Source organism: Homo sapiens, chromosome 12, assembly GCF_000001405.40.
Source record: "Homo sapiens chromosome 12, GRCh38.p14 Primary Assembly".
Lineage (NCBI taxonomy): Eukaryota > Metazoa > Chordata > Mammalia > Primates > Hominidae > Homo > Homo sapiens.
In genome coordinates, this window is record NC_000012.12 from 31,428,286 (window position 1) to 31,445,639 (window position 17,354).

At 42.0% G+C, this 17,354-nt stretch overlaps 1 protein-coding gene across 24 annotated transcripts in view; it reads right to left on the reverse strand.

Annotated features, from left to right (window-relative positions):
- Window positions 1-17,354, reverse strand: part of DENND5B (DENN domain containing 5B) — a 208,911-nt gene that overhangs the window by 46,060 nt on the left and 145,497 nt on the right. For 12 of the 24 annotated variants that reach the window (XM_047428429.1, XM_047428430.1, XM_047428421.1 and 9 more), the window contains 2 exons: window positions 14,490-14,640; window positions 4,870-4,963 (listed from right to left, as the gene is read on the reverse strand). In XM_047428429.1, the coding sequence (XP_047284385.1) occupies window positions 4,870-4,963; window positions 14,490-14,640 (245 nt within the window). Of the gene's footprint in view, window positions 1-3,757; window positions 3,869-4,091; window positions 4,964-14,489; window positions 14,641-17,354 lie in introns of those variants that run through there. The other 12 variants (XM_047428424.1, XM_005253327.4, XM_005253330.4 and 9 more) reach the window with 2 other exon arrangements.

The following is a 17,354-nucleotide window of genomic DNA, read 5'->3' on the forward strand; positions in this document are numbered from 1 at the left end:
GAGCCAAGATCGTGCCATCGCACTCCAGCCTAGGTGACAAAAGCAAGACTCCATCTCAAAAAAAAAAAAATGTTTGCAGCAGAAAGAAGTATACATAAATGTTATGAGAACTGCAGAGTTTATTTTTATTTTTTGAGACGGAATCTCGATCTGTCACCCAGGCTGAACAGCAGTGGTGCAATCTCAACTAACTGCTACCTCTGCCTCCCAGGTGCAAGCAATTCTCCTGCCTCAGCCTCCTGAGTAGCTGGGATTACAGGCACGCGCCACCATGCCCAGCTAATTTTTGTATTTTTTTTTGAGACGGAGTCTCGCTCTGTCACCCAGGCTGGAGTGCAATGGCTTGATCTCGGCTCACTGCAACCTCCGCCTTCCAGGTTCAAGTGATTTTCCTGCCTCAGCGTCCTGAGTAGCTGGGATTACAGGTGCACATCCCATGCCCGGCTAATTATTTATTTATTTTTGAGACGGAGTCTCCCTGTGTCGCCCAGGCTGGAGTGCAGTGGCGCGATCTCGGCTCACTGCAAGCTCCGCCTCCTGGTTTCACACCATTCTCCTGCCTCAGCCTCCCAAGTAGCTGGGACTACAGGCGTCTGCCACCACACCCGGCTATTTTTTTGTATTTTTAGTAGAGACAGGGTTTCACTGTGTTAGCCAGGATGGTCTCAATCTCCTGACCTCGTGATCCACCCGCCTCGGCCTCCCAAAGTGCTGGGATTACAGGTGTGAGCCACTGCACCCGGCCACGCCCGGCTAATTTTTATATTTTTAAGAGACGGGGTTTCATCATGTTGGTCAGGCTGGTCTCAAACTCCTGACCCTGTGATCCGCCCACCTCGGCCTCCCAAAGTGCTGAGATTACAGGCGTGAGCCACCACGCCCGGCTGTAATTTTTGTATTTTCAGTAGAGACAGGGTTTCACTATGTTGGTCAGGCTGGTCTCAAACTCCTGACCTCGTGATCTGCCCGCCTTGGCCTCCCAAAGTGCTGGGATTACATGCATGAGCCACCCTGCCCAGCGAGTTTATTTGATTTTTAAAATCTATCAACCATTACCAGCAGAGAAGTCAAATGTAACAAGGTCTATATAAATGGTCTGAAGGTTAGTTTTTATTTATTTATTATTATTATTTTTTTTCTTGAGACGAAGTCTCGTTCTGTCACCCAGGCTGGAGTGCAGTGGCTCGGTCTTGGCTCACCACAAACTCCGCCTCCTGGGTTCAAGCAGTTCTCCTGCCTCAGCCTCTCGAGTAGCTAGGATTACAGGTGCTGGCCACCACACCTGGCTAATTTTTATATTTTTAGTAGAGACGGGGTTTCGCCATGTTGGCCAGGCTGGTCTCAAATTCCTGACCTCAAGTGATCCACTCAACTTGGCCTCCCAAAGTGCTGGGATTACAGGTGTAAGCCACCACGCCCTGCCTGGTTTTTTTTGTTTTAAAACAGAGTCTCACTCTGTTGCCCAGGCTGTAATGCAGTGGTGCAATCTTGGCTCACTGTAACCTCCACCTCCTGGGTTCAACTGATTCTCCTGCCTCAGCCTCCCAAGTAGCTGGCATTATAGGCGCGTGCTACAACACCTGGCTAATTTTTGTATTTTCAGTACAGATGGGGTTTCACCATGTTGGCCAGGCTGGTCTCGAACTCCCGATCTCAAATGATCTCCCCACCTCAGCCTCCCAAACTGTTGGGATTATAGGTGTGAGCCACCGCCCAGCCTGAATACTTTTTTGTTTGTTTGGTTTTTGTTTTTTTGAGACAGAGTCTTGGTCTGCTGCCCAGGCTGGAGTGCAGCGGCATGATCTCAGCTCACTGCAGCCTCCGCCTCCCAGGTTCAAGCAATTTTCCTGCCTCAGCCTCCTGAGTAGCTGGGATTACAGGCACATGCCACCACACCCGGCTAGTTTTTGTATTTTTAGCAGAGGCGGGGTTTCACCATGTTGGCCAGGCTGGACTCGAACTCTTGTTCTCAAGTGATCCGCCCGCCTCGTCCTCCCAAAGTGCTGGGATTAAAGGTGTAAGCCACTGCGCCTGGCCCCTGAATACTTTTTAAAGTCAATTACTGGATTAAAAATTAACCACTGTCGGCTGGTCAAGGTTGCTCACACCTGTAATCCCAGCACTTTGGGAGGCCAAGGTGGGAGGATCACAAGGTCAAGAGATCGAGACCATCCTGGCCAACATGGTGAAACCCCGTCTCTACTAAAAATACAAAAAAAAAAAAAAAAAAAAAAAAAAATTAGGTGGGCGTGGTACGTGCCTGTAGTCCCAGCTACTTGGGAGGCCTAGGCAGGAAGATCAGGAGGTGGAGGTTGCAGTGAGCCAAGATCACGCCACTGCATTCCAGCCTGGCGACAGAGGGAGACTCCGTCTCAAAAACAAACAAAAAATTAAGCACTGTTTAAAGTTTATGTCCTGTTTTATATAAAGGAAAACAAGCTAGACGGTGGCTGTCCTATGAGTGACCAATTTACTGAGCCCCCAGTACATATGGGGCAGGTACAGTTATTAGCCAACAGTGGATTCCATAGGGCCATGTGCAAAGTCTCCTTCTGGGCATCTCTGCTGGAGCCATAGAAATAGCAACATTCCATGGACATGCACAGAAAGGATACAGGGGGCGGCAAAAGGCCTCTCTTCACAGCAAGAAGGGAGGCTGCCTCTGCAAATTGCAAAAACAGAGCAACTGCCTTTAAAATAAACAAGTGATGATAAAAATAACATCTGGAGGAAAAAACATATTTCAAGATGAAAAATATAGGAGAGAGACTTTTCACAAGAAATGCTTTTATAATACAGTCTAGAAGTAACCCCAGATTTCTTCTGAGATTACTACTGTGCTCTTCTTTATTTCTGCTTAAGACAAATGAAACAAACCACTAGGAACTACCTATGAAAATATATCCTATTATTCAATAAACACTGAACTAACTGCTCTTTAATACAGGCTCTCCCAGAATTTTCTAGTAAACGCCCTAGCCCTTTACAAGTTGGTGTTCAACTTGTGAAGAGAAGACCATTGTAAAATAGATTTAAGCTAGTATGACATAATGGGGGAAAACTATAAGCAAGATTTCTAAGTTGCTTGTTGCCTCAAGTGAACAGTGGTTAGTGCAAGCTGGCATGCAGGGTAAATGGAAAGAATATTGGCCTAGAAGTCAGGAGTCTTGGGCTATAGGTCCAGCTCTGTCTTTGTGTGCTTTTAACTCTGGGCTAATCTCTTGGACTTCAATTTAATCATGTCAAATTGGACAAGATGACCTTAAAGATTCCTCTTGGCACTGAGATTCTATGTTGATGACTGAATTTTCTGACCACATAAAATACAGACCAGGAAGGGGAAATTAAAATTCTGTGGAGATAAAACCCAGCAAAAGAAAGGCTATTTGAAATTCAATCACATCTGTACTTCTGGAAAACGCTTAAATAAAGGGGAGTTTGTATATTTAATACATTTCCCCCTTTGAAGTAAGGCAATTTGCTATCTAGCACACAAAAAAAATCCCACTGATTAGAGACCCAAATGATTAGTTTTACATGTCAGCAGCATAGAATTACTCATATTAGCACACACAAACACAGAAAGGGACTAAACATAACAAGAAGCAGAGAGCAAAATGGGGAGTGTGAGTTCACATCTCAAGGTCATGTGAGGCATTCTAGAGCTATGTGCACTCACACATGTGTAACATTCAAGTAACACCAAAGACAAGATTGGGGGAACATCTGGTAAAGCACTTTCAAGCAAAGAACATACCAGGCAGCACTCAGAGAAGGATTTTTTAGGAAGTCGTGCAGGAGGAGGTGGACCCTGGTCCCACTCCCAGAATGCCATGGAGTTCTGACAGACCAAAAGTTCCCCGGAAGGCTAAGAGGATGGAGAAATGCCAATGACAGGAAAGCAAAAAAGAAAAGGATAGGGAGAAAGAGACAAGCAGAACAAGCATGCATATGATAAAATCACAGCAAAAGAGAGGGAAGGGAAGAAAATACAGTAGCCGGAAAAAAAAAAGCACTACACAGGTGATGCCTCAGTTCTTAATAAAATGTTTAAAATCATATATGTATGAACACAACAAAAACAAGAGATGTTTGGGATGATGTTTTCTGCTTTATTTTTACAAATTTGATACTAGAAAACAGTTAACAAGTCTTCTGATTGCATTTCTCTTTTGATCATAAGAAACGAAACAATCAGGCTGGGCATGGCAGCTCACACCTGTAATCCCAATACTTTGGGAGGCTGAGGCAGGAGCACTGCTTGAGCCCAGGAGTTCAAGACCTGGGCAACATAGCAAGACACTATATATATATGCAGATTTCACACAGAAAAAAATCAAAACTTACTTGTTGTATAATTATGGTCTTATTTTCAAAGAGTACAAATAAAAGTGTAAGGATCTTAATTTAAAAATAGTTTTAAAACACTTTCAAAAATATAAAGTAGATTTAGAGATTCAAGAAAAAAAACTGGTGCCAGCAAGCCAAGAACAAAGCATAGGCAAGTACATCACACTACTCCTTATAATTATGCTTGAAACTTAGAAATGTCTAGGCTTCTCATGCAGACAATTTTTCTCCTATAGGAGACATAGTAACTAAAAATTTATCCTCAACTTGATCTTTACTTGATGTAATACACAGAAAGACTTGTTTTAGAGCCTTATTATAGATGTCTTGAAATTACAAAAATGGAAAAAAGGGTGTTTTCTGCTATATGTCCGTACAAAAGGATTAATATTTTAAACTATAACTAAACAGTTTTTTTTTTAAAGAACATTAAGAATCTACACAATGACATCTGCTGGAAGGAATAAGCCTAGTTCATGGCGCTTGCTGTGAGGCACCCCAGGAAGGTAGACCACATACCTCCCTCAAGTCGTTGTCCAGCCCAACATGCTCAGAATGCTGGCGAAGGCGTTCTTTCCTGCGCTGTGCAGTGGCACTCCGACTTACCCAGCGACTGAAACAATCAAATTATTTAAAAATGTGTTCCTTATCTTTAAAATAGAAAGCATTAACCATTCAACACAAAAGACTGACACACACATTTTAAAATCAATTATTTAAAAAATATATAGCAGCTTTGTTAAAATATAATTAAAATACCATACTATGCACCCATTTAAAACATACAACCAAACGGTTTTTAGTATCTTTCCAGATATGTGCTGTCATCACCACAATCAGAATTTTTAAAAACTGAGGTCAAAAAGGCACAGTATCAATACACTTTAGATACTTACATACATAACAATAAGTCAAATCTTAACCGAGTTAGTCCTTGATTATATTGACATATAATAGTAATGCCTTGACTTGCTCAAAGTAAATATTATGAATATTTTTTAATACAAAGAATATTCTCAAAACCCATAATTTAGAATTACTTAATTCTAGCGTCCTAAAAGAATAGAAATGTATGAAGCTTCCAACCTTTTAAGGAAAGATTTCTATCCAACTTGACTAGTTGCAATGGCTTACACCTGTAATCCTAGCACTTTGGCCGGATCACTTGAGGCCAGTAGTTCGAGACCAGCCTAGGCAACATAGTGAGACTGTCTCTACAAAAAATTTAAAAAATTAGCCTCCTTAGCTACTTGGGAGGCTGAAGTGGGAAGATAATTTGAGCCCAGGAGTTTGGGGCCGCAGTGTGCCACGACTGCACTCCTGCATTCCAGCCTGGATGACAGTGATATCCCATCTCAAGATAAATAGAAAGATTCAAACTCATAAGAGTGAGTCCTCATCTGTAAAGTCTAAGGGTTGTACTCAAAGACCACTGTGATTCCTTTTTGCTCTAAAATTTCATGACTGTGTTTCTGAAGTGATAGCTTGTGTTTATCAGTTTTAGAAAATATTTATAATATAAACTCAGTATCAAAATATGCAGGACAAATGAGTTTAAAATAAAACCTGAGCTCTTTTCCAAGGCCTATAAAACTCTTAAATATAAAGACCTCTGCTTCATTCTCTCTGATCTTATATCACTTCTCCCCTAATTACTATGTTCCAGTATAGTAACCTCCATTCTGTTTCTAAATGATTGATAAAATCAGTGCTAGTTCTATAATAATCTTCTCTGCTACTAAACTGCTGGTATCGAAACTGCCTTTCAGATGAGATCAGGTGCGTTCAAGGTGGTATGGCCGAAGATGTAAGTTGCCTTCCAGCTCAAATACCTTTGTTTTTGGTTAATAATGATTCAACTCATGTGCCCTAGACCCAGACCTGCCCTGGATGATATGAGGGGCTTAAAAATATATAATGTTTCCCTTATTCAAAGGTCCTTTTGTCGCCAGCCTAGCTACCTACAGGCTCCAGCTTAGTGTGTAAGACTCAACCATCCAGCGATTATCCTTAATCACTCCTTTCTATCATCTTCATTCAGTGAAGAATTTGGAACCTGGCTCAGTTTTCTTTTCTTCCCTGCTATGGGAAGTACAAAGACTATATAGATAACTTTGTCTTAAAATTCTGGGGTCGTCTAACATGCAACTTCACCTCCACTCAGCTTTAGACGCAACCAGGACATCACACTAAATCAAATGGTCATCCAGAACTCCTCTCCAAATCCAATGGTCATCCAGAACTCCTCTACCTCAGAAATCCTGAACTCCACCATCTTAGCCACTGACCCCCATCTCCCATTACATTAGCTCTTCCATGCCTTGACTCTCACTTAAGACCCCTGGTGCTTTCTCGTCTTTCTGTTATGAACATAAATTCTGCGGAAAGCCACCTAAACTACTCCCATTCTAGCACTCTCTCCTCTGTAATAATCCTCTACTTCCCTCCTTACCTGCCCACCAGAGCCCCAAACCCCGGATGAAGACTATCCCCTCACTTCCCTATTCCCGTACCCACACAGACTAGTTCCCAATTTCTCTCACGACTACCCATGAATCACTTCACCTGCCTTTTATCAACTCTTCCCCATTCTCCTCAAAGACTACTGCAAACTCTTCACCCTCAGGTACCCTTGCCTCCTTCTTCCTGCCCTCTACTTAGACAATACACACACATAAACATCCTCATCTTTCTTCTAATCTCAAAGTATAAAATACATTAGCCAAGGCTCAAAACTGTGTCTTCCACTTGCATCCTTGACCAATTCTCCCGTCTTTTCAACCCGCTCCATTAGTCACCTCCTTTGCTGTATCGCCAATCTTTTTCTCAGTGGAATCTCTTCAGCTGACAAGCATGTTGGTCTCCCTCGTGGCCCTCTGTAGTCATGTTAACATCTGTTTCTTCACACCTCTGATGTAAAAATTCTTAAAATATTTAGATGTAAGACTTCTACTTATTTACGTTTGGATCTTCAGTTCATTTCAAATCATCTACTTCCCTTGAAAACGCTTTTTAAATTTTGTTTTAGTTTGTTTGTTTGTTTGAGACGGAGTCTTGTTCTGTCGCCCAGGCTGGAGTACAGTGGCAAGACCTCGGCTCACTGCAACCTCCACCTCCTGGGTTCAAGTGATTCTCCTGCCTCAGTCTCCCGAATAGCTGGGATCACAGGTGCACACCACCACACCCGGCTAATTTTTGTATTTTTAGTAGAGATGGGGTTTCACCATGTTGGCCAGGCTGGTCTCGAACTCCTGACCTTCATGTGATCCGCCCACCTCGGCCTCCCAAGTAGGTGGGATTACAGGTGCAAGCCACCAATGCTCAGCTAATTTTTGTATTTTTTGTAGAGACAGGGTTTTACCATGTTGCCTAGATCAGTCTTGAACTCCTGAGCTTAATGCGATCTGCCTGTCTCAGCCTCCCAAAGTGCCGGGATTACAGGTGTGTCTGTTCCCAGCTGCCTAAAGCCCCCCCACTTTTTTTTTTTGAGACGGAGTCTCAGGCTACCACCCAGGCTGGAGTGCAGTGGCGTGATCTCACTGCAACCTCCGTCTCCCGGGTTCAAGTGATTCTCCTGCCTCAGCCTCCCAAGTAGCTGGGACTACAGGTATGTGCCACCAAACCCAGCTAATTTTAGTATTGTTTAGTAGAGACAGGGTTTCATTATGTTGGCCAGGCTGGTCTCGAACTCCTGACCTCAAGTGATCTGCCCGCCTCGGCCTCCCAAAGTGCTGGGATTACAGGCATGAGCTACCGTGCCCAATCCTAAAAATCCTCTTGATGAAGCCACTGAAACCCCTAACTGCCAAATCCAATGGCTATTATTTGATCCTTAGCTTACTCAAAACCTCTTCTACATTTAGTACTGCTGATCGCTCTTTCTACTTTTAAGCTCCTGCAATTTTCTTTTTTTTTGGAGATAGAGTTTTGCTCTTGTCACCCAGGCTGGAGTGCAATGCCGCAATCTCAGCTCACGGCAACCTCTGCCTCCCAGGTTCAAGCAATTCTCCTGCCTCAGCCTTCCAAGCAGCTGGGATTACAGGCATGTGCCAACATGCCCAGCTAAGTTTTGTATTTTTAGTGGAGACGGGGTTTCACCATGTTGGCCAGGCTGGTCTGGAACTCCTGAGCTCAGGTGATCCGCCCGCCTCAGCCTCCCAAAGTGCTGGGATTACAGACGTGAGTCACTGCGCCCGACCCAGCTCCTGCAATTTTCAACCTCAGTGTTTCCAATGAAATAAGTTCTGTCACCTCTGAGCCTTTGTCCATGAAGTTTTCTCCCAACTTTCATTCACCTTTCAGATAGATTAGAGGCCACTGCTTCCAGAAAGTGTTCTATGACTCTTTCAAATCTAAGTTAGCTACCCATCCTGTACGCCTCAATTATAGTATCTATCACAGAGTATTATAGTTACTTATCTCCATTTTCTATAAAATCTCCTCTAGAAGGGCCAGTATCTTGTCTGTCAGCCATCTTACTGGCAAAGTCTACTATAGCACCTGCCCCCCCCTTTTTTTTTTTTTTGAGACGGAGTCTCACTCTGTCGTCCAGGCTGGAATGCAGTGGCACAATCTTGGCTCACTGCAAGCTCTGCCTCCCGGGTTCATGCCATTCTCCTGCCTCAGCCTCCCGAGTAGCTGGGACTACAGGCACCCGCCAGGCTAATTTTTTGTATTTTTAGTAGAGACGGGGTTTCACTGTGTTAGCCAGGATGGTCTCGATCTCCTGACCTCGTGATCCTCTGGCCTCGGCCTCCCAAAGTGCTGGGATTACAGGCGTGAACCACCATGCCTGGCCATCATCTGCCCCTTGTATAAATACAATTAAGTAAACAGAGATGCAGTCTAACATGTAGGTTTACAGATGTTCATCACAGCATATAGATATGTAATAACAAACTGTATTTCCTTTATTCCAAGACTCACATTTTGGCTTTTAAATGTTCCTGAAATTAGGATGCATCTTTCAGTCCATATGCATGTTTAATATATACTTTTTCCTAAAAGCCTTTGAGTTAATTGCAGATCGTACAACCAACAGTAGAATCAAGAAAATATACTCAAAACAACCGAAATGTTCAACAGTAGAGGGTAGTATACAATGAAATCTCATGCAGTCATTAAAAAATTCAAATTTCTAATAATATGAGAATGCTAATGATACAGTAATAAAAAAGGTATAACATTCTATAAACATTTTAATTTTGTTTCAAAAACAAGATGTGTGCACTCCCGTTCTCCTGCTCCCCCAACCTTGCTATGTAAGAGCATAATATCACATTTTAACATTCCATGGTGATGCGATTCTGAGTGGTTAAAAATTAACCCCATCACTTTCTAGTATTCCAGATTTTTTCTTTTTTTGAGACGAAGTCTCACTCTGTCACCCAAGCTGGAGTGCAGTGGCTTGATCTCAGCTCACTGCAACCTCTGCCGCTCAAGTGATTCTCCTGCCTCAGCCTCCCGAGTATCTGGAATTACAGGCTCCAGCCACCGTGCCCGGCTAATTTTTGTATTTTAGTAGAGATGGGGTTCCACCATCTCGGCCAGGCTGGCCTTGAACTCCTGACCTTGTTATCCACCTGTCTTGGCCTCCCAAACTGCTGGGATTACAGGCATGAGGCACTGCGCCTGGCCAATATTCCAGATTTTTAAAGAGCAAATATTGTATCCATCTATTTTTTAAAATTTTCTCAGCTCTTACCTATCATCCTCATGAAATGTATTCATTATCCTAAGAATACTTACTCTTTTTACAATGGTATCAAGGAAGGTAGCCCCTCTCAAAATAGTTTCTTAAGAAGAGGAGTAGGTTTATGGTTTATATAAGGGAAAAATGTGCAAAGATCTAGTTACAGATCTTTGAAGTGGAATCCCTGGAAATGTCTCCAAAGCAAAAGAGCAATGTAAGACTGTAAAAAGGATACAAAAAGAATCGGGGGTGATTGAAAATTATGAACCACAAAAAACACATTAAGATTCTGAAACAGAATATAAACACAACCTGAAGATCTTTAAAGGGGAAGAATAGAATATAAATAACAAACAAAATGTACAAAGACCTGGGTGTAGATCTTTGATATGGAGGCCTTGAAAACAGCCCTGTAGCAAAAAAGGTCAGTATAACACAAAGTTTGCTCAGGGATTTTAAAAATTAGGGTTAATGGGCAAGGTAGTCCAAATAAATAGTAAAAATATGAAACAGAATATAAATACTAGCTAACGGACTTATATAATAAACGAAAAGGAAGGCACAAAAATATAAATGGCATAAAACTGTGTCTTTGGCAGGCAGAAAAGGATAAAGATTAACTTAAATATAACTAGCTCTTACTATACACTCTGTGGAACAAAATGGCCTACTTAATTTTATTTTCAAAACAGGGAAATGAGCACTGCGCTTAAGCAAACTGCTATGAAGTCCACACATTCCTGGTCTTGTTAAGTAATTAATTTATTCTTTGCATTATTAAACTTTATTTACTAAGCATAATTTTACCAATGATAATCACAATTGCTGAAATACTAAAGACTGCTTATTTTGTTCTGTCTTGTAAACAGCATATGAAGTTCTCTCAACAGTTGATCCACAGGCATGGTTATAAATCCATTTACCCTGCAATTGTTCTGAGATCTTTTCTCTTGACTATATCTACCTGAAAACGTAATGACTGAGGCTTCGTGTGGAAATGGGAAACCATAAGATTATATATAAGGCAAAAGCAAGAAAATAAGGCTATAAGATTTCAAAATTAAACTCCTCCCTCCTAAGCACTCTCTACTTTTCTTTCCTACTTTGTTTTTCTTCATAACTCTTATCATCTGACATGTTACTTGACATATTAGGTTCCTTTTTTTTTTGTTTACTTGCACTTGGAAGCAGAGATTTTTGTTGTTTTGTTCATTAATAAACTCGTGGTGACTAGGACAGTCCTCACATATAGTAAGAGTTCCATAAATATTTGCCAAATGAATGAATGAACAATCTAATGCCATCAAAAGGAAAAAAAAGCACCGGGTGCAGTGGCTCACGCCTGTAATCCCAGCACTTTGGGAGGCCGAGGTGGGCGGATAACCTGAGGTCAGGATTTCTAGACCAGCCTAACCAACATAGTAAAACCCTGTCTCTAATAAAAAAATAAAATTAGCCTGGCGTAGTGGCGCATGCCTGTAATCCCAGCTACTCAGGGAGGCTGAGGCAGGAGAATCGCTTGAACCTGGGAGGTGGAGGTTGCGGTGAGCTGAGATCGTACCATTGCACTCTGGCCTGGGCAACAGAGGGAGACTCCGTCTCAAAAAAAAAAAAAAAAAAAAAAAAAAAAGGAAACAAAAACTGTTAAACTAATAGTCTATCCAGATCAAAGTGATTCGAACAATTAGGATACTTCACAAATAAAAGAAAAAATTAATAAACTGATGGCTAATCTGTTCTTATGGAAAATTCTCTTAATTATCATCCACTTCTGAAAAATAGAATATTGTATCTAGTACCATTATCTGGAAAGTTTGAACCCTCACAACCATCAGTATCTATTAGCACATTTTTTTTCTTTTTTTAAAATAAAGATGAGGTCTCATTATGTTGCCTATGCTGGAGGTTATTCACAGACACAATCATTGCACGTCGTGGCTTCCAACTCCTGGCCTCAAGGAATACTTCCTCCTCAGCCTCCCAGTAGGTAGTACTGGGGAGTGCCACCAGGCCTCGCATCTTAGCACATTTTTTAAGTTCAGTGTGTATAAAAGCAGGGCCACCCCTTCACTGGAGGGTGAAACCCTGCAAACTAAGGCAAGTACAATAAAAATTTCAGTCATTAGTTATTTGCTTCTGTCTTGTAAGCAGCATATTAAATGCTCTTGAACAATTTTCCTCCCCAAGACTTTGGTATAAACGTGCATTTTCTACAAGAGGAGAAAATTTCATTCTGAATATATAACTTTTCCACATTTCTAGTGAACCATCCTCTAGTACTGCCTTCATTAAAGTTGAGACAGCCTTTTAAATGAAAGGTCAATCAAACGAAGGGTTTTTTGTTTTTTTGAAAGAGGGTCTTTGCAAGGTTGACCAGGCTGGAATGCAGTGATGCGATCACATCATGGCTCACTGCAGCCTAGACCTCTCAGGTTCAAGTGATCCTCCCACCTAAGCCTCACCAGTAGCTGGGACTATAGTTGCATGCCTGACTGCCTCCCAGGCTCCAGTGATTCTCATGCCTCAGCCTCCCAAGTAGCTGGCATGACAGGCATGCACCACCACACCCAGCTAATTTTTGTATTTTTAGTAGAGACGGGGTTTCGCCACATTGGCCAGGCTGGTCTTTAACTCCTGGCCTCAAGTGATACACTTGCTTAGGCCTCCCAAAGTGCTGGGATTACAGGCATGAGCCACCATGCCTGGCCTAATTTAAAAAAAAATTTTTGTAGGGGCTTGGCCTGGTGGCTCACACCTATAATCCCAGCACTTTGGGAGGCCAAGGAGTTCAGGTTGCTTGAGCCCAGAAGTTCAACACCAGCTTGGGCAATAAGGCAAAATCCTGTCTCTATAAAAAAATACAAAAATTAGCTAGGTGTGGTGGCATGTGCCTTTAGTTCCAGCTACTTGGGAGGCTGAGGCAGGAGGATCACGTGAGCCTGGGGAGGTCAAGGCTATAATGAACCATGATCGGGCCACAGCACTCCAGCCTGGGCAACAGAGCAAGACCTTGTCTCAAAAAAAATGTATGTATTTTTTTGTAGAGACAGGGCCTTCCTATGTTCCCCAGGCTGGTCTCAAACTCCTGGGCTCAAGTGATCCTTCCTGCCTCGTACTCCTAAAGTGCTGGGATTACAGGCGTGAGCCACCGTGCCTGGCCCAAGTTTTTTTTTTGAGACAGGGCCTCGCTGTGTTGCCCAGGCTGGATAATAGTGGTGATCATAGGTCACTGCAACCTCCAACTCCTGGGCTCAAGTGATCCTCCCATCTCAGCCTCCCAAGTAGCTAGGGATACAGGCATGTGCCACCACACCCAGCTCCAAATGAAGTTGTTGTTGTTGCTGTTTTTAATCCACAATTCTTTTTAATACTATTTTTATTTTTTGAGACAGGGCCTGTTTCCCAGGTTGAAGGGCAGTAGTGCAATCACGGCTCACCGTAGCCTCAACCTCCTGGGGCTCAAGTGATTCTCCCACTTGAGTAAATGGGACTACAGGTGCACATCACCATGCCCAGATAATTTTTCTATCTTTTTTGTAGAGACAGGGTTTCGCCACATTGGCTAGGCTGGTCCTGAACTCCTGGGCTCAAGCTATCTGCCTGCCTCGGCCTCCCAAAGTGCTGAGGTTACAGGCGTGAGCCACCATGCCTGGCCACAATTCTTTCACTTTACTGTTTGGTGTTCCTTTTCTAAATATTTAAAAGGATACTAAAACTAAAAATTTTCTTTTCAAAAAATTTTCTCTTTAGCTCTTCAAGAGGGAAGATAGAGCCTAAGAATATATCTTGCTACCCAAAGTACTATCCTGTCTTCTCTGGAACCACTCCTCTTAACAGAACCCAGTTTAAGGCAGAGGTGAGACATCTGAAGGCTCTTTCATCTGGAAGGATCTCATTAGACTGGTGTGACAGGCTGTTGCTAAACTCTCTTATGTTCTCCTAAAAGCTGGAAAAGGCAAGGAAGGATCATTCCCTAGAAGCCTCGAAGGGAGCGTGGCCCTGCCAATTCCTTGATTTCAAATTTCTACCCCCCAAAACTGTGGAAGAATAATTTCTGTTGTTTTAAGCCACTGAGTTTGTGGTTCTTTGTTATAGCAGCCCTAGGAAACTAACACAGATGATAAAGGTCTAACCTTTCTAAATTCCATTAGATAGTATTATCATTATATTTAAATCGCCATTTAAAGTGTGGCTTTTCCAAGTGTACTTTGCTTGAAAAAGAAAAAAAAATCTCTAGCCTTTGTTTTTTTCTTTTTTTTTTTAAATGATGGATTTAAAGGTCAAGCACTGACAGAAGTGTCAATCCATATTTCAAATGCATTAATGTGGTCATGAAAAAAGTAATCAGATAGATGTTTAATAGTTAAGCATTGTCCATTTGAGTTGCAGAGCACCCCACCCTTCATTCATTCCTTCAACCAACTACTCAAGTGAAGAACATGCTTACTTGTTACTGGTTGGTCCTGTTGCCAAGACATCGGACTGTAACTTTGGAAAGAACCCCTGCTCATATTTGCCTTGACCAATTTTCATATCAAGTAGATGTGGGTGGATTGCAGTGTGATCCATTTTCATCAGTCTCTGCTCAATTGATTGGGCTATAAATTAAATTTATAATAAATTAGAGACATTTCATTGCTAGCCCTTCAAAAATAATGCTTCCTCCACTCATGCACCTACAGAGAACCCAATCACTCTGACACTCTGAAACAGATATTGTGTGTGTGTGTGTGTGTGCACGCACGCACGCATATATGCATGTTTTGAGACAGAGTTTCACTCTTATTGCCCAGGCTGGAGTGCAATGGCGCGATCTCAGCTCACTGCAATCTCTACCTCCTGGGTTCAAACGATCCTCCTGCTTCAGCCTCCCAACTAGCTGAGACCGCAGGCATGTACCACCAGTTCCAGCTAGTTTTGTATTTTTAGTAGAGATGGCGTTTCATCATGTTGCTCAGGCTGGTCTTCAACTCCTGACCTCAGGTGATCCACCCTCCTTGGCCTCCCAAAGTGCTGGGATTATAAGCGTGAGCCACCACGCCCGGTCTTGAAATAGATTTTTACAAGGGCTCTTCAGAAATTAGTATAATGTAAGTATAAAAAGTTAACTTTAAGTAAATATTGGATGATTAATTTTCATGGTATTTTCTGCCTTTGTCAAAATCAGGGCCGCGGGGATGAAAAGCCTACAATTTTGTATTGAAACAGTTTCTCTTAAGTAAGAAATTCAATATTCTTACACAAAAATATGGTTCTAAGTACAACATTAAAGAAAATGATAGCAAATAAAATATTTTTCTTGAGCTGAAATACAAGTTAAAGAGAAGACGCAAGCACAATGGCCTTATTAACTTTACTTCTTTATACAAAGACCTATTAAATATTCGTGGTTCTCCATCTGTAAAAACAAGGAACGGTGTGAAGTTTATTACCTCACTTTTAGCAACAGTCACGTTCTCATTAGTAGGAGTCATTTTGGAGTGTTTATTAGATCAAGAAGGTAATACAGCAAAAAGTCATATAAGCAGGCATTTAGAAAATGTCCAGAGGATAAGAAACTGGCCTTTTGAAGAATAAAATAGGTGAATGTTAAGATAGGATTACTAAACATTTCTATTTTAAAACCACTAAGAGTCAGGGATGTTGGAAGATGTCTCAAAGTCCCCAGAAACAGTGATCTATTTCTCAGGTAAACAAATAAATAAAACCTGATCTTAAACATTTTAATCAACTGAATTGTCAAGAGAAAATATATTTTAGAAGCAAGCCTAGGTCTCTGATCCTCTGCCTAGAGATTACTTAAAAGGGGAGAACAAGCAGTAATGGTAGTTGTGTGATAAACAGAACACACTGTGGGAGCTGCTAATTTTGTGATTTAAGAGAAGAACCAGGTGCCTTTATAAATATTTCATAGAATCAGTTTATGTTGCCCCTTTTCCTTTTTTTTCAGATGGAGTCTAGGCTGGAGTGCAATGGCGCAATCTCAGCTCACTGCAACCTCCACCTCCTGGGTTCAAGCGATTCTCCTGCCTCAGCCTCCCGAGTAGCTGGGATTACAGGCACCCGCCACCATGCCCAGCTAATTTTTGTATTTTTAGTAGAGATGGGGTTTCACCACATTGGCCAGGCTGGTCTCGAACCCATGACCCCAGATGATCTGCCCTCCTCGGCCTCCCAAAGTGCTGGGATTACAGGCGTTAGCCATTGTGCCTGGCCACAGTGGTATTTTCAAGAGTATTATATAATTTCTGTGATGACAGTGGGAGTACCAAACTCTCTGAGAGGCTGAAAGAAAATCTATTTTAATTGGAAAGACTTTCTGGAAGCACACAATTAAGGTATTGGTGCTTAGTTCCATCTAAAAAATTCCATCAGGAAGGGAGAAATAAAATTTGTGCAACAAGGCATTATGCTATTCACATGGCTATTAAGGCACTGGAAGTCATTTTATTCTCTGAACAAGGATAGACAATTTCATTAATTCTACTTTCTCAATTTCCAAAACCACATAGGTAATTGCCACTTCCTGAAGGGGCTCCAGGGATCTACCCTGATTCGTGGGAATACAACAGGGTGATGTTTCTATGGTTACATAAAAGACATCATTTACATACTTCTCCCTTACATACGCTAAAGCTTCAGCATCATCATTCCTGACTTTGATCTATTTAAGTAAAGTGGGAAAGGCAGGCAAGCAATCAAGAGAGACAGATCAAGGAAGCTCCACATTTGCTGCCTCCTTTTTCTCCAGAGGAAAAGTTGCTGTCAAATAACTCCAACATTTGAAGGGAAAGAAATAAAAGGGAGGGCCGTCAGGTGATAGGTATCTGCTTATCTGGCAAAGAACAGGTTAAGGACCAGGCATAATTGTATAAAATAAGTGTGGACTAGTACATTTTACATAGTTCTTTCTTGAATGAACAGCTAACATGATGTTAAGGCTTCCTGTGCCAGAAATCAGACCTGGATTCAAACCATGGCTCGACCAATCACTAGCTATGCAACCACCAACCACAGGCAAGTTACTTAACCTCTCAGTTTTCTCAATTGTAAAATGAGGGCAGTAATAAAACAAAATAAAAATAAGTATTCCAGGCCAGACATGATGGCTCATGCCTGTAATCCTAGCATTTTGGGAGGCCAAGGCAGGTGTTTTGTTTGAGCTCAGGAGTTCAAGACCAGCCTGAGCAACATCGTGAATCCCTGTCTCTACCAAAAATACAAAAAATTAGCCAGGCATGGTGGCATGCATCTGTAGTCCCAGCTACTTGGGAGGCTGTGGTGGGAGGATCACTTCAACCCAGGAGGCAGA